At 50.8% G+C, this 17,543-nt stretch overlaps 1 protein-coding gene across 18 annotated transcripts in view, besides 5 other annotated features; it reads right to left on the bottom strand.

Annotated features, from left to right (window-relative positions):
• Positions 1-17,543, bottom strand: part of IL6R (interleukin 6 receptor) — a 64,108-nt gene that overhangs the window by 33,016 nt on the left and 13,549 nt on the right. For 11 of the 18 annotated variants that reach the window (XM_017001199.2, NM_001382771.1, NM_001382773.1 and 8 more), the window contains exons 2-6: positions 6,991-7,239; positions 5,829-5,952; positions 1,735-1,916; positions 1,279-1,445; positions 325-466 (exon numbers count right to left, since the gene is read on the bottom strand). In XM_017001199.2, the coding sequence (XP_016856688.1) occupies positions 325-466; positions 1,279-1,445; positions 1,735-1,916; positions 5,829-5,952; positions 6,991-7,239 (864 nt within the window). The remainder of the gene's footprint in view (positions 1-324; positions 467-1,278; positions 1,446-1,734; positions 1,917-5,828; positions 5,953-6,990; positions 7,240-17,543) is intronic. The other 7 variants (XM_047419655.1, XM_005245139.2, XM_047419654.1 and 4 more) reach the window with 3 other exon arrangements.
• Positions 1,919-2,752: an enhancer, noted in NCBI's record as "H3K4me1 hESC enhancer chr1:154406159-154406992 (GRCh37/hg19 assembly coordinates)". NCBI's record gives its function as "activates a minimal SCP1, AML or CMV promoter by ChIP-STARR-seq in naive H9 embryonic stem cells {active_cell/tissue: H9 hESC(naive)}" and the evidence as "EXISTENCE:reporter gene assay evidence [ECO:0000049][PMID:30033119]".
• Positions 2,753-3,584: an enhancer, noted in NCBI's record as "NANOG-H3K27ac-H3K4me1 hESC enhancer chr1:154405327-154406158 (GRCh37/hg19 assembly coordinates)". NCBI's record gives its function as "activates a minimal SCP1, AML or CMV promoter by ChIP-STARR-seq in naive H9 embryonic stem cells {active_cell/tissue: H9 hESC(naive)}" and the evidence as "EXISTENCE:reporter gene assay evidence [ECO:0000049][PMID:30033119]".
• Positions 3,585-4,418: an enhancer, noted in NCBI's record as "NANOG-H3K27ac-H3K4me1 hESC enhancer chr1:154404493-154405326 (GRCh37/hg19 assembly coordinates)". NCBI's record gives its function as "activates a minimal SCP1, AML or CMV promoter by ChIP-STARR-seq in naive H9 embryonic stem cells {active_cell/tissue: H9 hESC(naive)}" and the evidence as "EXISTENCE:reporter gene assay evidence [ECO:0000049][PMID:30033119]".
• Positions 8,740-9,240: an enhancer, noted in NCBI's record as "H3K4me1 hESC enhancer chr1:154399671-154400171 (GRCh37/hg19 assembly coordinates)". NCBI's record gives its function as "activates a minimal SCP1, AML or CMV promoter by ChIP-STARR-seq in naive and primed H9 embryonic stem cells {active_cell/tissue: H9 hESC(naive and primed)}" and the evidence as "EXISTENCE:reporter gene assay evidence [ECO:0000049][PMID:30033119]".
• Positions 9,241-9,741: an enhancer, noted in NCBI's record as "H3K4me1 hESC enhancer chr1:154399170-154399670 (GRCh37/hg19 assembly coordinates)". NCBI's record gives its function as "activates a minimal SCP1, AML or CMV promoter by ChIP-STARR-seq in naive H9 embryonic stem cells {active_cell/tissue: H9 hESC(naive)}" and the evidence as "EXISTENCE:reporter gene assay evidence [ECO:0000049][PMID:30033119]".

Raw genomic sequence — 17,543 nt, 5'->3', positions numbered from 1 at the left:
GCGATTTCGGCTCACTGCAACCTCCGCCTCCTGGGTTCAAGAGATTCTCCTGCCTCAGCCTCCTGAGTAGCTGGAATTACAGGCACCTGCCACCATGTCCAGCTAATTTTTTGTATTTTTCGTAGAGACAGGGTTTCACCATGTTGGCCAGGCTGACCTCAGGCAATCCACCCGCCTCAGCCTCCCAAAGTGCTGGGATTACAGGTGTGAGCCACCACACCTGGCCTAAGCCACTAGTTTTGAGGCAACTTGTCACATAGCAATGGATACCTGATGCAATGACAGTTGAAACATCCCTTCCTTTCTCAGTGCCCACCGCAGTACCTGTCCAAGGCGTGCCCATGGCCTCCGGGCTCCACTCGCTCCACTCGCCTTGCCCGAACTCCTCCTGGGCACGAAGCTGCACCACGTGCCTCAGGCCGCTCCAGGCGTCGTGGATGACACAGTGATGCTGGAGGTCCTTGACCTGAGGGCGGGGGCACGGTGACTCTGGGGAGGTATCCAGGATGGTGCTGGGCAGGTAGCACCCCAGTGGGTTGGTGCCTTGGCCAGCCCTGTGCTTCAGCTGGCAGAGGCCTCTAGAGGCTCCCACAACCCCAGAGGCTCTGCTAGAGAGGGGGTTGCCCTCAGGGCCCACGGAAGCTGAAGCAGAAAGTCCCTGCCCCACCCATGCACTATAGAATCCTGCAAGCCACAACCCTTGACATGTCTACAGCCCAAATCTCTTCCCACATTGCTCTCCTCACAGACAAGCCCGGGAAGAGGAGACTGGCCTGGCATTATCCTTTTCATTTAATAAATGATATACCACCAAGGCTCAGAAAGCTTAAAACATTTATCCAAAGCAACGAAGGTAGCCAATTGTGAAGCAGGAACTAGAGCCTATGGTTTTCCTTTTAGTACCCTTTCTATTTTTTTTTTTTTTTGACATGGAGTCTAACTCTGTCGCCCAGGCTGGAGTGCAGTGGTGTGATCTCTGCTCACCGCAACCTCCACCTCCCAGGTTCAAGGGATTCTCCTGTCTCAGCCCCCGAATAGCTGGGATACAGGCGTGCGCCACCACACCCAGCTAATTTTTTGTAATTTTAGTAGAGACGGTATTTCACCATGTTGGCCAGGATGGTCTCGAACTCCTGACCTCAAGTGATTCGCCCACCTTGGCCTCCCAAAGGGCCGGGATTACAGGCGTGAGCCACCATGCCTGGCCTCTAGTACCCTTTCTACTACGCCTAAGCATCTAGGGGCGCCTCTCTGACCAGAAGTAAAACATAAATTTACCATCCATGTTGTGAATGTCTTTGACCGTTCAGCCCGATATCTGAGCTCAAACCGTAGTCTGTAGAAAGATGAGTTCCAGGAGTGGGGGTCTTGCCAGGTGACACTGAGCCAGCGGGGGTTTCTGGCCACGGCAGTGACTGTGATGTTGGCAGGCGGATCAGGCTGCACTGTGGGAAAAGTGAGCATGACTCCTTTGCAGCACCAAATATAGTGTAGAGAAGCCCATGTAGGCTGAGATCCCAGCAAGCAGGGCCCCACCCAGCCCCGTTCACTCCCCATGCACAGCTCCACAAGGGCCTGCTTTATCATTGCCACACCTCCCGGCAAGCAACGCCCAAAAGGCACCAACTCACCAAACCCCTCAACCACCCCTTCCCTGCCACTCTGAGAAGTCGATAAGGAGTATTAAATCAAAAGAGAAGGAAACTGCTGGAGAGGGGGTTAGAGCTTACGTACAGATTCCACAACCCTGAAAGGTTTGAGTTTTGCTGAACTTGCTCCCGACACTACTGGCGACGCACATGGACACTATGTAGAAAGAGCTGTCTCCCTCCGGGACTGCTAACTGGCAGGAGAACTTCTGGGACTCCTGGGAATACTGGCACGGCTCCTGGAAGTCTTCGGCCGGACTGTTCTGACTGTTAGACACAAAACAAGGGCAGGGCTTGCCTGTCAGTTTCGCACAGACTCAAGACGGGACAGAAGGGGGAAGTGGAATCCCGGGGTTTGAATCCCAGCTCCAGACTTATAAGCCCTGTGCCTCTAAGTCTCCTTTTCTCATTTGAAAATAGGAATATTAATACTACTTACCTAGTAGGGGTTAAGTTTTTGTTTTGTTTTGTTTTTGTGATAGAGTCTCACTGTGTCACCCAGGCTGGAGTGCAGTGGCGCAGTCTCGGCTCACTGCAACCTCCGCCTCCCTCCCAGGTTCAAGAGATTCTCCTGCCTCAGCCTCCTGAGCGTGCCCAGCAAATTTTTGTATTTTTAATAGAGATGGGGTTTCACCATGTTGCCCAGGCTGGTCTCGAACTGCTGACCTCAGGTGATCTGCCCGCCTCAGCCTCCCAAAGTGCTGGGATTACAGGCATGAACAATCACACGTGGCTGGTTCTGTTAAGACTGAGAAATAAGGCCGGGCGCGGTGGCTCACGCCTGTAATTCTAGCACTTTGGGAGGGCAACGCAGGCAGATCATGAGGTCAGGAGTTCGAGACCAGCCTAGCCAATATGGTGAAACCCTGTCTCTACTAAAAATACAAAAAATAAAATAAAAAATTAGCCTGGCGTGGTGGCGCATGCCTGTAGTCCCAGTTACTCAGGAGGCTGAAGCAGAAGAATCACTTGAACCCAGGAGGCAGATGTTGCAGTGACAGAGACTGCACTCCAGCCTGGGCGACAGAGACTCCATCTCAAAAAAAAAAAATTGAGCAATAAATGTAAAATCTAGAGATGAGGAAACTAGCTGGATTTACAAATATATATAAACATGTAGCCTAGCGCCTGGCACGAGGGGTGAGGGGAGCTAGGCTGGAGGGCTCAGCTAGTCACTCAGGCAATGGTCGGCTGGCCAGCTCTGGTCTCCCGCTGGGCCTGTGCTCTTGGCACTGTAGGGGATATAGAAATGAATCAAGAGAGGCCCCACCCTGCCTTCAAGGCACTAACAAAAAAGATCTGTCCTCAGATGACTAGACACCCAGCAGAAATGCCACTCCAGAGACACAAAAAGTGCTAGAGGGGTTCTGGCAGGTGAGTCCAGAAAAGAATTCTGGGTAACTGAAGACATTCGAGGTGAGTCAGCCACCATCCCACCTGGCCTGGAAACCTGAGGCTTCACCCTCTTATGACACATGTGGGCATGTGAGGCCACGTCAACCACTCACCCTCCAGCTGGGGTGACGAGTCTGCCACCTCTGACTTGGGTTCGAACCCTGGGCTCCTGCTGAATCCAGCACATGGGACAAACCCAACCTTTCCAGGCTGAGTTAAAGCCCCTTTCCTCCTTCCCCCAACACCACCCAGGCTTCCACCCAGCCACGAAGGCAGGGTCACCGACTGCTTTACGTGTGTGCCCAGGTGGGGTCAGAGGGCCGGGGCTCAGTCTTGTTGGCCCGCTTCCTCCCACTGCCCCAGCACTGCGCCTGGTCCAAGGCAGAGGCTGAGCTCACCCCTGCCTGTGGAAGAAGGAGGGAGCAGTGCTGCAGTTGGGCAAGGGTGTGAAAGCAGACACACAAGAGAAAAAGCAGAGCTCCCAGTAATCCCTTTCCAGGGGCCTGTCTCTTCCAGGCCCTGCAGTGGCCTGAGGTCTGGGTGGGGCCTCAGTGGGGGCTGGGGCCCCTGAGGCTCTCGAAGCCACTTCCCCTGCTCTTTCCTCACTTCAAAGGCGCCCAGTGGTCATGCTGACTCTTCAAAGCAGATGGAAGCAAAGGCACGAGGCTGCTCGGGAGGACAAGCACTGTACTCTCTCCCACTCCCGCTGTCAACATGGAAAGTATTCCAGTCAAGCCGGGCGCGGTGGCTCACGCCTGTAATCCCAGCACTTTGGGAGGCCGAGACAGGCGGATCACCCTAGGTCAGAAGTTCGAGACCAGCCCCGCTAACATGGTGAAACCTCATCTCTACTAAAAATACAAAGATTAGCCAGGCGTGGTGGTGTGCGCCTGTAATCCCAGCTACTCAGGAGGCTGAGGCAGGAGAATCGCTTGAGCCCGGGAGGCGGAGATTGCAGTGAGCCGAGATCCCACCACTGCACTCCAGCCTGGGCGACAGAGCGAAACTCCATCTCAAAAAAAAAAAAAAAAAAGTATTTCAGTTGAAGTGTCAGAAATGACAGAGCTTTCCACAGGCTGGCCTGGGAAGCTGCCAGCCACAGTCTCTATCCTGGCTAATCCTATCTATGGTACAAGCCTTTGAGGTACAAACAAGGTGTATCCTTTGCTGGGCTGTGAAGCTATCCAGGCTTGGGGCATGAGCTGACAGTGCTAATGGCAGCTGCATCATTCACAGATGGTAATCCGCACTTTTCATCATAGAGGACAGAACAAAAACATGACTGCCAGGCAGCCCAGTAACTCTATGGAAACAGACCCAAGTGGGAGCTGAACCACCCTATTGAAGTCACTGCTCTGGCTTTCTGATACAGTAGTCCTGCCTTATCTGAGGTTTTGCTTTCCAAGATTTCGGCTACCTGTGGTCAACTGCGGTCCAAAAATATTAAATGGGAAATTCCATAAATAATCACTTCAGAAATTTTAAAGTGCCCACTGTTCTGAGAAGTGTGACGAGATTTCACACCGTCCCGCCCAGGACATGAATCATCACTTTGTTCAGCATTCCTGCGCTGTGCATGCTACCCATCACTCGTCCTGACATCCACCGCCATCATCATGGCTCGGTGACCCAGAGTCACCCAAAACAGCTGATCCTCCTTCTAACACATGGTCAGAAAGCCCTAGTAGCCTAACACTGAGTCACAATGCCTACATCATTCACCTCACTTCATCCCATCATGCAGGCATTTCACAACCTCATATCATCACAAGAAGGGTGAGTACAGTAATAAGACATTTTGAGAAACAGAGAGACCACATTCACATAACTGTTATTACAGTATATTGTTATCACTGTTCTATGCTATTTTTAGTTATTGCTAACCTCTTACTGCACCTAATTTATAAATTAAACTATCATAAGTACATATCTATAGAAAAACATACTATATATAGGGTTCAGCACCATTTGCGATTTCAGGCATCCACTAGGGGTCTTGGAATGCGACCTCCTTGCCCTATATTCTGATGACTGACAGCTCAAACTCAATTGTAAACCTCTGGACTAAGGGAGACTGTGGCTCTGGGATGGAGACCAGCAAAACTGCAGAGGCAGATTTGTTTTCAGCATCTTCCACCTCCTCTACATCCATGCCTGAACCCATCCCAGGTCTTCCCACGTTAAGCCGTCTTCCGGTGATGATGCAGAGCCCCCAGGCAGGCGTGACTTCTCCCCCCACGGCCCCAAGCTCCCTCTCCCCCGCCCATCACCGCTTTCTCTCTCGTGTCTTTATCATGGAAATAGCCTGATACGCCCACAAGGGCCCAGACACTGATAATGGTCTGGCTGTGCTACACCCCCTCCCAGGGATATTTGCATGTTTTTCAGAGCAACGCCCATAATCTTCGGACTTTGAATGAAATCAGACAGACTGGGATTGAATTCCCAGCAGAGCCACTTACTAGCTAAGTGAACCAAACCTGTTAATCAGTCTCTGGGCCTCAGTCTCTCCATCTGTTAAGTGAGAAAAATAAAGCCCACTTCCCATAGCTGTTGTGATAACCAAGGTCAAGTGAATAGGACAAGGTTCCAAGCACAAGCACAGTGCCTAGCTCAGGGGGGGCAGTCAAATGTAAATCTCAGTTCCCTCTCATCTCCTCTTCCTCAGCCTGAAGGAATTAATTCCTAATGATAATGTTTTGAAATCACCTGAACCAGCCCCTCTCTGGGGGGCCTCGGGAAGGAGGGAGCCAACATGCACATAGCTCAGCCCAAGATACTTACAACTTCCTCACCAAGAGCACAGCCTTTGTCGTCAGGGATGGGGTGCTCCGAGGACCCCACTCACAAACAACATTGCTGAGGGGGCTCTTCCGGAAGCAGGAGAGCTGGGGCTCCTCGGGGGGAACTGAAAGGAAAGCATTGCAGGTGTCAGCAGGCGGGCGGGGATCCTGGGGCGCACTGACCTCGCAGACAGGGCAGCCTCCCTTGAGGGGAGCACGTGGCTGGGCCCCTCGGCCCCAGCCCTGGAGCTAGTCAGGACCCTGGCCACACTCAGCCACACATGAATGGAATCGCAGCTGGGAAATTAAAGGACACCAAAGTCCTCCTTTCAGTCTGAGACACGGATCCGGGACAGGGGAAGGGAAGAACCTCAGGACCAACTTGTCTGAAGGGGAGAGAGGATGATCGAAAAAAAGGGCTTTGGAGTCACACAGACCTGGCTGTGCGGCCTTGGGCAAGTCCTAGCTGCTCTTCAGTTTCCTCATGTATAAAATAAACTGATGATAATGTAATGATGATGGAAATGATGATAAGCCTGCTTTCCCTGACAAGGCTGCTGAAGGATTACAAGAGATACAAGGAAGAAAGTGCCTTGGCATAGGGCTCGACACACAGGGCACTGGTTCCAGGAAGTCTTTATCTAGGTATGAGGGAGCTAAGAACTTGCTAATTCTAAAAAAATAAGAATAGCTAATTTGAGAGCTTAGGATGGGCTATGCAGACTTTTTAGCAGCATATGTGTGTGATATACACACACACACATACGCAAATTCACATACACCCCCTTTGCAACAACTCTAAGGTAAGGTAATAAAATTAACCTTATTTTGCCAAAGATGAAACTGAAGGGTGGAGAAGTTAAGCTGTATGTGAGGGAGCAGGATTCAAACCCAGGCTGCCTGACTCCGGGCCCCAGGCTATTCACCAGTTCACCAAAAGTCCTAACTCCCAAAGCCAATGTTCCCCACCAGTCAGACGCTCCCACTCCCACCCAGCAGCAGTCTTTGCCAGCATCTGGATGGCAGACATTGGTGGGCCTTCCCCAAAATTCTTGCGCCAAGGAAATGGTGGGAGTTTGAAGGCTCAGACAGGGACTGTCTGGAATGCACAAAGCCTCATTTCTTACGGGAACTATCTCCGGGACCTCTGAGGCACAACTCACCATCCACCAGCAAGTGCACAGTCCCAGCTGGGCGGCCGGCCCGGTAGCATGAATAGTTTCCAGAGTCGTGGAGCTGCACCGACCTCAGCAGCAGCCTCCTTCCCATGCCAGCCCATCTGCTGGGGTGGGAGCCTGCAGCCGGCTTCCTGAGCACCCAGTGAACAGTGGCATTGTCTTCCGGCTCTACCCCCGGGCAGGTCAGAGTCACGCTGTCTCCTGGCAGACTGGTCAGCACGCCTCTCGCCACCTCTGGAGGAGGGAGAAGACACTTGGTGAGCCCACAGCCACTGAAGAAGGGGGCTTCGTTCTGGTCTGAGGAAGCCACGAGAGGCCTCAGTGATAATGATGAAGTGGCCCAGGCTACCGTCACCTCTGCCTGGATTAGGGCAGCATTCTCCTGGTGACCTCCCCAACCTGGTCTTCACCATCCAGCTGCCTGGGAGAGCCTTCTGAAGCCATGATCCAGCCACCCCACTCCCTGGATTAGAAAACCCTTCAAGGGCCTGCCACCATCCACAAGATGAAGTCCAAGCTCCTCAGCGTGGCCTGCAGGGCCCTTCTGTCCTTGGAGGCCTCATCTCTCCCCACTCCTTAGAAGGTGTGGAGCCCTCCCCTCAACTCCCCTCGCTCTCCTCCTCACACTCGTTCTTCCTACATCATCCCCACGACAACTCCTCCTATTCCAGGTCTCGGCCTAAACATCGTTTCCGGTCCCCCAGCTCCACTAGGCCCTCATTCTGCAATACGTCACCCACACGCTGCCATGTAATTACGAATTCCGTGTCTCTCTTCCCCTCAAGACTCCAAGCACCACAGAAGTAGGCACCCTGCTTTGTTCTCCATTATATTCCAAGTGCCCGGGACGTTGCCTGGCCCATGGCAGGAGTCTGCTGAGTACTGGATGAATGTGTGAACGAATGGATGCCATTAGGAATGAATGCCAGGCACCCAAGTGCACACGTACACAGGAGGTTTCCAAATCGCAGGGTATTCATGGCAGAATGCCCGTTATATAGTTGGTAACTGAGGCACAGAGGAATCAAGAGACTGGCCCAGATGCCCAGCTGGGGTAGGAACCAGGGCTTCTGGTTCCCTGTTCCATGCTCCCTCCAGTACCCTACATCTACTACAGCAATGCTGTGTTTACTCTAGGGACCAAACTGGAAGGTTAAAAAAAAAATGCATTCTCTACCCCTTGAAAAAAATTGGGTGTATTCTACTACTCAAGAAAAATAAGATTAAAGATTAAAGGAACAAGTACACTTTTTTTGAGTAGCAGTTATAGAGTCATAGAATCTAAGATAAAAATTAGCCCAACCACCTTGGACTCATTTATTAACCAATCAAATTAGTCCAACCAGCTAAGGAAACAGAGGCCAGGGAACACAGCCAGTTTTCATGTAAGCACACTTGGTCCTTTGAACCAAATGCATAACCATTTATTAGCAAGCAGTAGCAATAAATCTGGCCAAAGATTTCAGAGAGGACCAGCAGCTGCTGAGTGCCTGACCTCACCTCCTCGCCCATGCTCCTGGGACTCAGAAGCAGCACAAGGCTCTCTGCCTGGCCTGCAAATCCCTTCTTGTTTATGAGGCGTTTTTATCTCATACTTGGCAGGCTGTCCTTCCTTTCACCCCATCCAAGGTGGCTGTCAGAGGAGGGAGTAAGGATCAGTGACTCCCAGGCAGATAACACCCCTAAAGCTGGTGAGGTTGGAGTCCACACTGGCTACTGGCCACAGTCCAGGGACAGAGACATAGACATCAAAGGGGCGGAGACAGCTCTGCCTGGCATTGAGCCCTGTCTAGCTATACAGATACCCTTCACACTTCCCTCTCACTTTAACACCTAGAGCCAGAGTCCTCCTCCCTGGCACCCTCTACCTCAAGGCTGGCAGAAAAGGGACAGATATAAGGCCATCATGGCAGCCGGTCATCTAAGGTTTTCTCTGGTCACCAACAGACCTTGGGTAAGAAAGCTGGTTGAATTGTCACCGTGCAGCCAGGCGAGTTTGGGCAGGTTCCTGAGACACCTATGGCCTTACTTTCTCCCACGGTGGGCAAGTCCTGTGTTTGATAAACATTTGAGGAGGCTGCAGCAGCCAGGCACTGGCAAGGAAGACACAGTCAGGCATCCCAGAGACCTGCCCTTGAGAAACGGGAGACACATTCACTGCTGCAAGGCCAGGACACAGCACACAGTACTGTCCTGGTCCTCAGCAAAATCTGAGTCCCAGCTGGGCCTCACACCTGTAATCCCAGCACTTTGGGAGGCCGAGGCGAGACGGATCACAAGTCAAGAGATCGAGACCATCCTGGCCAACATGGTGAAACCCTGTCTCTACTAAAAATACAAAAAATTTGCTGGGCGTGGTGGCAGGCTCCTGTAATCCCAGCTACTTGGGAGGCTGAGGCAGGAGAATTGCTTGAACCAGGGAGGCGGAGCTTGCAGTGAGCCGAGATCACGCCACTGCACTCCAGCCTGGGCAAAAAGAGCGAAGCTCCGTCTCAAAAAAAAAAAAAAAATTCTGAGTCCCTAGAAGGTGAAGTCCACTGAGGGCAATAAGGGGTGGACTGCTACTGCCCAGAGGGCTTGAAAGGGTTATAAAAAGCCACAACTACAGTATAGCTTTCACACAGAATCTTCAACAATATATTTTTAGCATTGCGAACATTGTTTTTAATGTATTACATAATACTGAATACATGCAAATTCATATATATAATGTATGTAAAAGCTACATACATAAAAGTTAATTTATGAAGCATAAAATACCCAGGAAAGCCCACCAACCTAACTTTCACTACCCATACATCCCTACATTTTTCTTAACTTTGCTTCATTTTTGAGCTTCATATAAATGGTTTGAATATAGTCTTCTGCTGTGATATGCTTTTCTCTTTTCTTTCTTTTTTTTTTTTTTTGAGACAGAATCTCGCTCTATCACCCAGGCTGGAGTGCAATGGCGCGATCTCGGCTCACTGCATCCTCAACCTCCTGGGTTCAAGCAATTCTCCTGTCTCAGCCTCCCGAGTAGTTGGGACTACAGGCACACACCACCATGCCCGGCTAATTTTTTCCTTTTTTTGTATTTTTAGTAGAGATGGGGTTTCACCATATTAGTCAGGCTGGTCTTGAACTCCTGACCTCAGGTGATCCACCCGCCTCGGCCTCCCAAAGTGCTGGGATTACAGGCGTGAGCCACCACGCCCAGCTGGTGCTTTTCTCGAACTTCCTTTGTGTGTATATATGTGTGTGTGTGTGTGTGTGTGTGTGTGTGTGTCTGATACAGGGTCTCAGTCTGGTGCTTTTCTCGAACTTCCTTTGTGTGTATATGTGTGTGTGTGTGTGTGTGTGTGTGTGTGTGTCTGATACAGGGTCTCAGTCTGCTGCCCAGGCTGGAGTGCAGTGGCACAATCATAGCTTTTTGCAACCTCAAACTCCTGGGCTCAAGCGATCCTCCCACCTTAGCCTCCTGAGTAACTGGGAGGTGCACACCACCATGCCCGGCTAATTTTTTAATTTTTACTAGAGACAAGTTCTCAATATATTGCCCAGGCTGGTCTTCAACTCCCGGCCTCAAGCCATCCTCCTGCCTTAGCCTCCCAAAGTGCTGAGATTACAGGCATGAGGCTCTGTGCCCGGCTGCTTTTTTTTTTTTTCTTTTTCTTGGGACAGGGTCTCACTCTGTCACTCAGGCTGAAGTACAGTGGCACAATCATGGTTCACTGCAACTTCTAATTCCTGGGCTCAACTGATCCTCCCACCGCAGCTTCCCAAGTAGCTGAGACTACAGGTACATGCTACCATGACTGGCTGTATATTTTTTTTTTTGAGAGATGAGGTTTCACTATATTGCCCAGGCTGGTCTCAAACTCTTGGCCTCAAGCAATCCTCCTACCTGGGCCTCCAAAATGTTGGGATTAGAGGGATGACAACCTGGCCCGGCCTCATTTATATGTTTCTCTGATTCACTGACACGTAGTTCGTTCAGTCTCACTGCTATGTAATATTTCGTTGTGTGACCCTATCATTCTCTCACTGAGGGAGGTTTGCGGTCATTCCCATTGTTTTGCCATATCAAAGAGGGTGGCTATCAACTTTCTCATGACTCAGTGCACTTGCCCAAGAACTTCCCTAAGAATGAAACTGCTGGTGTTGGCGTGTGTGACCTGTGTCCTTTTCCTTCACTAAGGGAGGAGACCACCCCTCATATTGTCTTATGCCCAATTTCTGCCTCCAAAGAAAGAAGTAGTAAAAACTAAAAGGCAGAAATGAAATCCACAAGCAGACAGCCCGGCGCCACACCCTGGGCCTGATAGTTAAAGATCAACCCCTGACCTAATCGGTTATGTTATCTATAGATTATAGACATTGCATAGAAAAGCACTGTGAAAATCCCTGTCCTGTTCTATTCCATTCTAATTACCGGTGCATGCAGCCCCCAGTCACGTACCCCCTGCTTGCTCAATCAATCACAACCCTCTCATGCGGACCCCTTTGGAGTTGTGAGCCCTTAAAAGGGACAGGAATTGCTCACTCGGGGAGCTCGGTTGTTGGAGGCATGAGTCTTGCTGAAGCTCCCAGCCGAATGAAGCCCTTCCTTCTTTAACTCGGTGTCTGAGGGGTTTTGTCTGTGGCTTGTCCTGCTACATCACAACTGAACACACGGTCCAGTGCGTTGAACTCCAATGAGCACCTGATGGAGGCAGCAGTTTACCACATCCAGCCCACATCTTGAAGTCCATCAGTGCCTGAATGCGGTTACGTATGGAAGATGCAACGACACTTCTAATCAGTGCATCAATATTTCCACTTTTCCATTTTCCACTGGATAAAGCAGCTGTCAAGATAAAACCTAACACGGATTTCAAGTTCCTGCACAAATGACAAACTTGCAGGAGCAAAGATGGAAACAGTGCCCAAAGAGAACTGCTCCCAGTGCAATGCTTGCAATATCCCTTCCTCAGCTGATTCGCTGATTAGCAGAAATCAGAATTCACATGGCATGCAACAGACACAAGTGCAGGATGCATGAAGGTCTAAGGTAGGGGTCAAGGACCACTGCAGCTCATCCAATCACTGGCACTTTTCACATGGCACAGTCCTCAACTATATAAAGGTCCCTTCCCCGACCATGGTGACAACACTGGAAGCTCCTGGTCGTCACTCATCAGAGAACTTAGTAGGTGCTTCATGCATGTTTGTTGAATATAGGGCATGTTAGGGGTGCCCACAGGGACAGGGTCTCGGCACCAAAAACTCCCAGGCGCACGGTTTGCAGGTGAAGGGGTCTAAGTGGTGCCCTCTCGTGTTGTGTGATGGGCAGGCCCCAGGCTGGGGGGCAGAGGAGCCCGCTGAGGCAAGAAATAGACTCCTGGAGCCAGAGGAAGCTCTCTTTTCTGCTTCTGCCTTTGCCAAATCCAGTAAATGTCTTTCTGGTCATTTCCCCTACCCCAGTTCAGCGGGAAGCTCTTGCCATGTTTAGCGGCCAGCCTGAACAATAGCAGGGGCTGTTCTGCTCCTGCACTCACTAACAATGGCCAAAGTATCTGAGCAGCTCAGAGAAATACCAAATAAAAATACTTTTTTTTCCCTCTTCCACAAAAGCAGAGCTGCAGGGAGCAACATAATGGCCACTTCCTCTGCCAAGGAACTTGAGTAATGGCTTTCTGAATCTTTAAAACTGAGTCACTATTTTTTAAAACAGGGAATGATTAATTATAAACCACCCATTGGCAAGTATTGCCTGTCACAGCCCTGCTTCAAAATATATTTCCTCTAGAACCTGCGAACAACACTGTGTTAACTACGCTTTTAAAAGCACTGTATGCAGAATGATCAAAGAAATACTCATAAAGACTATAAGAAAACATACTTGCTAAAGTCAGAGTGGGCAGCACCGCCCCTTCCCTCCCACCCACTCAGCCCTCTGCCTCCTGACCCAAATCTCTGACTCAGTACCCCTGACAGCTGGGTGGCAGTGGGGAAGCCTCATGGGTGACTCTCAGAACAAGTAACATTCATAGAAGTGTCCTCTCCCTACCTCTGCCCTCCTCTCCAAATGATGGTGTTAGAGGTGATTTCTTTCTCTTCCCTGTGTCTTTCTGTAGTTTTTGAATTTTCTATAAGTTGCCTATATTGCTCTTATAATGAATACATATATATATATATATATATATATTTAATTAAACAAGCTACATAGCCTGGGTCTGTGTGAGTTAGGATTTCTAGGAAGGAGGGAGAGGGCACGGCAGAGCGCAGTGGGCACTGAGGGATGTCGGGGGATGAGGGTGGATTTTTCAATACAAGCAGCTTCCGAGCACCTTCAGGCCAAACAGTGCCACTTTGCCCTTGCACTGCTGAGTTCTCTCACTGTCACTGTCACTGAATTCTGCACCCATAGCCCAGCCCTCCCCTGTAGGCCTGATTCCCTGGTGGACACAAGACACCATCCCTGGGCTCAGCCTTGATTCCTCCCATCTGTCTGTTTTTCTGTTCCCTGGGAATCTGCTGGGGCCCTCCCTAAGTAGGCCCTACCAAAGAGAAGGGCCAAAAGGAAGAGACACGATGAGGAACCAGGTGAGGAGGGGGCTCCTGAGAGCAGTCCTTCCTGGTCCTGGGAGATATGCCCAGTCATTCTCATGCTCCCACCCCGGCCTGACACAGGCCTTGCATAGTAGGCCCTAGGAGACGGGGCACGCGGGGGCGAAGGCGTGGCTGGTGCACACACTGAAATTTAGCAAAGAGCACACAATCAACGGAGCATTTGTCCGTGAGCAATTGCTCAGCATTCAGAGCCAGGATTGCAAGCCTATGCCTGTCCCTTCTTCAAGAATTCAATAATTTTTGTGCACCCATGATGTGCAAGTTCAGAAGTTCCTAATCCAGGAAAAAAAAAACTCCATATTGAAGCTACTGAGCATCTACAATGCACTGGCACTCCTTCCTATCATTTCCATATCGTAATCTTCTTTAAACCCCACAAAGCCCTAGAACTTAAAACTATCTGTAATACAGGCCAACCTGATATAAATGTCTCCAACATACTGAGGGAACTAAGAAGAGGGATCAATTATTCTAAAGGGGGAAGAGAGATTTTATTGGGGCCTTGATAAATGAGTGGGGGTTTGATAAGTGGAGCCACAGGGAGTTACATTCCATAAAGAGAGAACAGTATATGCAAGGCATTAAGAACTGAGTCACCAGGCGCCGTGGCTCACGCCTGTAATCCCAGCACTGTGGGAGGCCGAGGCGGGCAGATCACCTGAGGTCGGGAGTTTGAGAGCAGCCTGACCAACATGGAGAAACCCCATACTAAAAATACAAAATTAGCCGGGCGTGGTGGCACACACCTGTAATCCCAGCTACTCAGGAGGCTGAGGCAGGAGAATCACTTGAACCCAGGAGGCAGAGATTGCAGTGAACTGAGATTGCACCATTGCACTCCAGCCTGGGCCACAAAAGTGAAACTCTATCTCCAAAATAATAATAATAATAATTAAAAAAAAAAGAATTGAGAGTCACCAGGCATCGTGGCTTACGCCTGTCATCCCAGCACATTGGGAGGCTGAGATGGGAGGATCGTTTGTGCCCAGGTGGCTGAGACCAGCCTGGGCAACACGGCAAAACTCCATCTCTACCAAAAAACTCTAAAATTAGCTGGGCATGGTGACACATGTCTGCGGTCCCAGCTATCTGGGAGGCTGTGGCAGAAGGATCACTTGAGCCCAGGAGGTCAAGTCTGAAGTGAGCTGTGATTGTGCCACTGCACTCCAGCCTGGGACCCAGAGCAAGACTGTGTCTCAAAAAAACAAAAAACAGTGAGAGTTCTGGGGAGGGCTGGTGTCTGGAGTATCTGAAATGCAGTAAGGAGGGAAGGAAGACCTACAGGGGAACATGGAGGGTGTGAGCACCCTCAAAGAGATCAGGCCTGACTCCACAGGCAGGGGGACTTTTGGTTCCTCTGTGGCCCCTTCTGAAATGCTATGCCTTTGCAACCCAAGAGCCTGGGTTAGGTTGGAGGCCATCCTGTGCTGCCAGCTGGCCTGGGCAGTGGGGACCCATGTCCCTGCTCAGAAACCCAGGCGGTGGGATGGGGTTGGCAGGCATGAGCCAAGCCTGTCAAAAGTATGTGCAGGCTCAATGGCTTCCCCACCTCTCCCCACTGCCCCACCAACCTCCAGGACAGGAGCATTCCATTGCTTCTTGTTTCTGTTCTCTTCCAATCTCCCTGAGAAAAAACCGACTGTCCCCTGCCCCTCCTTGGCTCCTGTGCATCATGAAGCAGCGCAGAGGCAGGAGGGAGGAAGAGCACCCAAGGACTGCGCCAAGGCCAGGGTCACATACAGGGAGGGAGCAGCTTCAGCCCAGGCTAAGAAAGAATGGGATTCTGCAGAGAGGACAAGGAAGCACCTCACCTGGGACTAAGATCACAAAAGGAGGCAGTATTGCCTCCCGAAAACAAACCCCCAAGCTCCTCCTCAACAGTCAGTGTTGGTGTCTGGTCTGGTCTGGTCAGTTTAATCACTGACTATTAATTGTGTGGGGTTGGGCTGACACAAACGTACAGTCTGCCTTGATTTGTTCTTTAATATAAAGTACATCTCAGTAGGGTGCAGTGGCTCACGCCTGTAATCTCAGCACTTTGGGAGGCTGAGACGGGTGGATCACTTGAGGTCAGGAGTTCGAGACCAGCCTGGCCAACATGGTGAAACCCTGTCTCTATTAAAAATACAAAAATTAGCCAGGCTTGGTGGTGTGTGCCTGTAATCCCAGCTACTCAGGAGGCTGAGGCATGAGAATCGCTTGAATCCGGGAGGCAGAGGCTGCAGTGAGTCGAAGGCTGCAGTGAGCTGAGATTGCACCACTGCACTCCAGCCTGGGCGAGACTCCTTCTTGAAAATAAATAAATAAATAAATAAATAAATAAAATAAAATAAAGTACATCTCCACAAGCAGGAGGCCCCTTGGTGTAGAGGAAACAGCTCTGTGCTGTCAGGTGACCTGAGTTCTATTCCTGGTCTTGTGATGACTCACAGGCAGCCATGGGCACGTCACCGCCCCTGGCAGAGCCCACTGGCCTTCTCTGTGAAATGAGGATTCAGACTGTGACCTGTAGATCCCCCACAGGCCCCCACTCCTGCGGTCTAGCATCCCATGGCGCCCAATCATTAGCTCTCAGAGGGCAGGAAGCAAACAATACTCAGCTTGAAAACACATAATGAATCTATGGATTTATTATTTAATAGTTGATGGCTTTGGGAGAAGGATGATGACCAGATCATCCCAGTGCCCTCAGAAAAATGCTTCTTTCTCCCTGGAGAGCTCTAGGGGAGGGAAAATTCCCACAACCTCCCTTGCCTCCCATTCCTCAAGGGAAAGAGAGTTTAGGTCCTAGTAACTCCCAACAAGCAAGCCCATATCTCCCTGCCCCGGTGGCCTAGGATTCCCCCTCCCAGGGACACTGGGACCCCCACCATGGCCCAGACACCCTTTGGTCTGGGGACCCTGCAGCACAGCTCTGGGAAAGTGGGGTTCCTCCCCAGTTGGGACCTAAGTTTGGGTGCCAGGAATCCAAACAGCTTTGTTGTTTTTCTACTTTTTCCCCCTCTTCAAGTAAACTTGCAAATGTCAATAACCAGAGAAAAACACGCACACGGAGACACATATTTCTCAACTCTCTTGCAGCTTGCCGCAGCTCTTGCCAGCAAAAACAAGTTCAGCTTCCTGGCCCCGTTTATGTAAGCGGTGAACCAGCTGCCTGGCCTGCCACCGAGGACACAGGCTTGGCTCGTGCCTGCTAATCCCATCTCACCACCCCAGTTTCTGAGCAGAGACGCAGGTCCCCGCTGCCCAGGCCAGCTGGCAGCACAGGAGGCCCCCAGCCTAACCCAGCTTCTTGGGTTGCAAAGGCATAGGATTTCAGAAGGGGCTACAGAGGAAACAAAGGTCCCCTGTCAGCAATAATGGTCTTGATCTAAAAGTAGGTGGGTGCTGAGAAGCCTCCAGGAGAAGCCTGTGGACACCTTGTGTCCACATGGAAACAAGTATAGAATTTGGTCCCACGAGGGCTAGGACAAGTCCCAGTGCTCTTGGTCACCTGTTCTTGCATTCTCCATCTTTGGACTGAGACTGGCTCCTGGCTTTGATGTGATAATAACCATAACAATCATTAGCAACTGGGACACTTACCCTGCGCCCTGGGCTTTCCCTAAGAGCACACTACTCACAAAAAGTCTGCCAGGGAGGAAGTCTTGTCCCCATTTCATTGTTGAGGCAACAAGAGATCAGAGAAGTTAGGGAACTTGCCCAAATTCACACAGCTCATGCATGAGGGAATCCACGCTGGACCCAGATGAGCCTGGCCAAAGCCTCTCTCTACTTGGCCCAGGTACCTCTCCATGCTCCACCCCCAGCTCCCTTCTCTGGGCTCCCCACCACCCTCTCTCTCCCCCTCTCCCAATTTCCTCTCCTCTTCCCTGCTCTTCTCACATCTTTCCACCCTTCAGAGGCCCAGGGAAGGGAATGCTGAGGCTTGAGGGGTGTGCACA

The sequence above is a fragment of the Homo sapiens genome, chromosome 1 (genome assembly GCF_000001405.40).
Source record: "Homo sapiens chromosome 1, GRCh38.p14 Primary Assembly".
Taxonomy (NCBI): Eukaryota; Metazoa; Chordata; class Mammalia; order Primates; family Hominidae; genus Homo; species Homo sapiens.
Note: the sequence above shows the minus strand (reverse complement) of the source record. Positions and strands in the feature narration are given on the sequence as shown.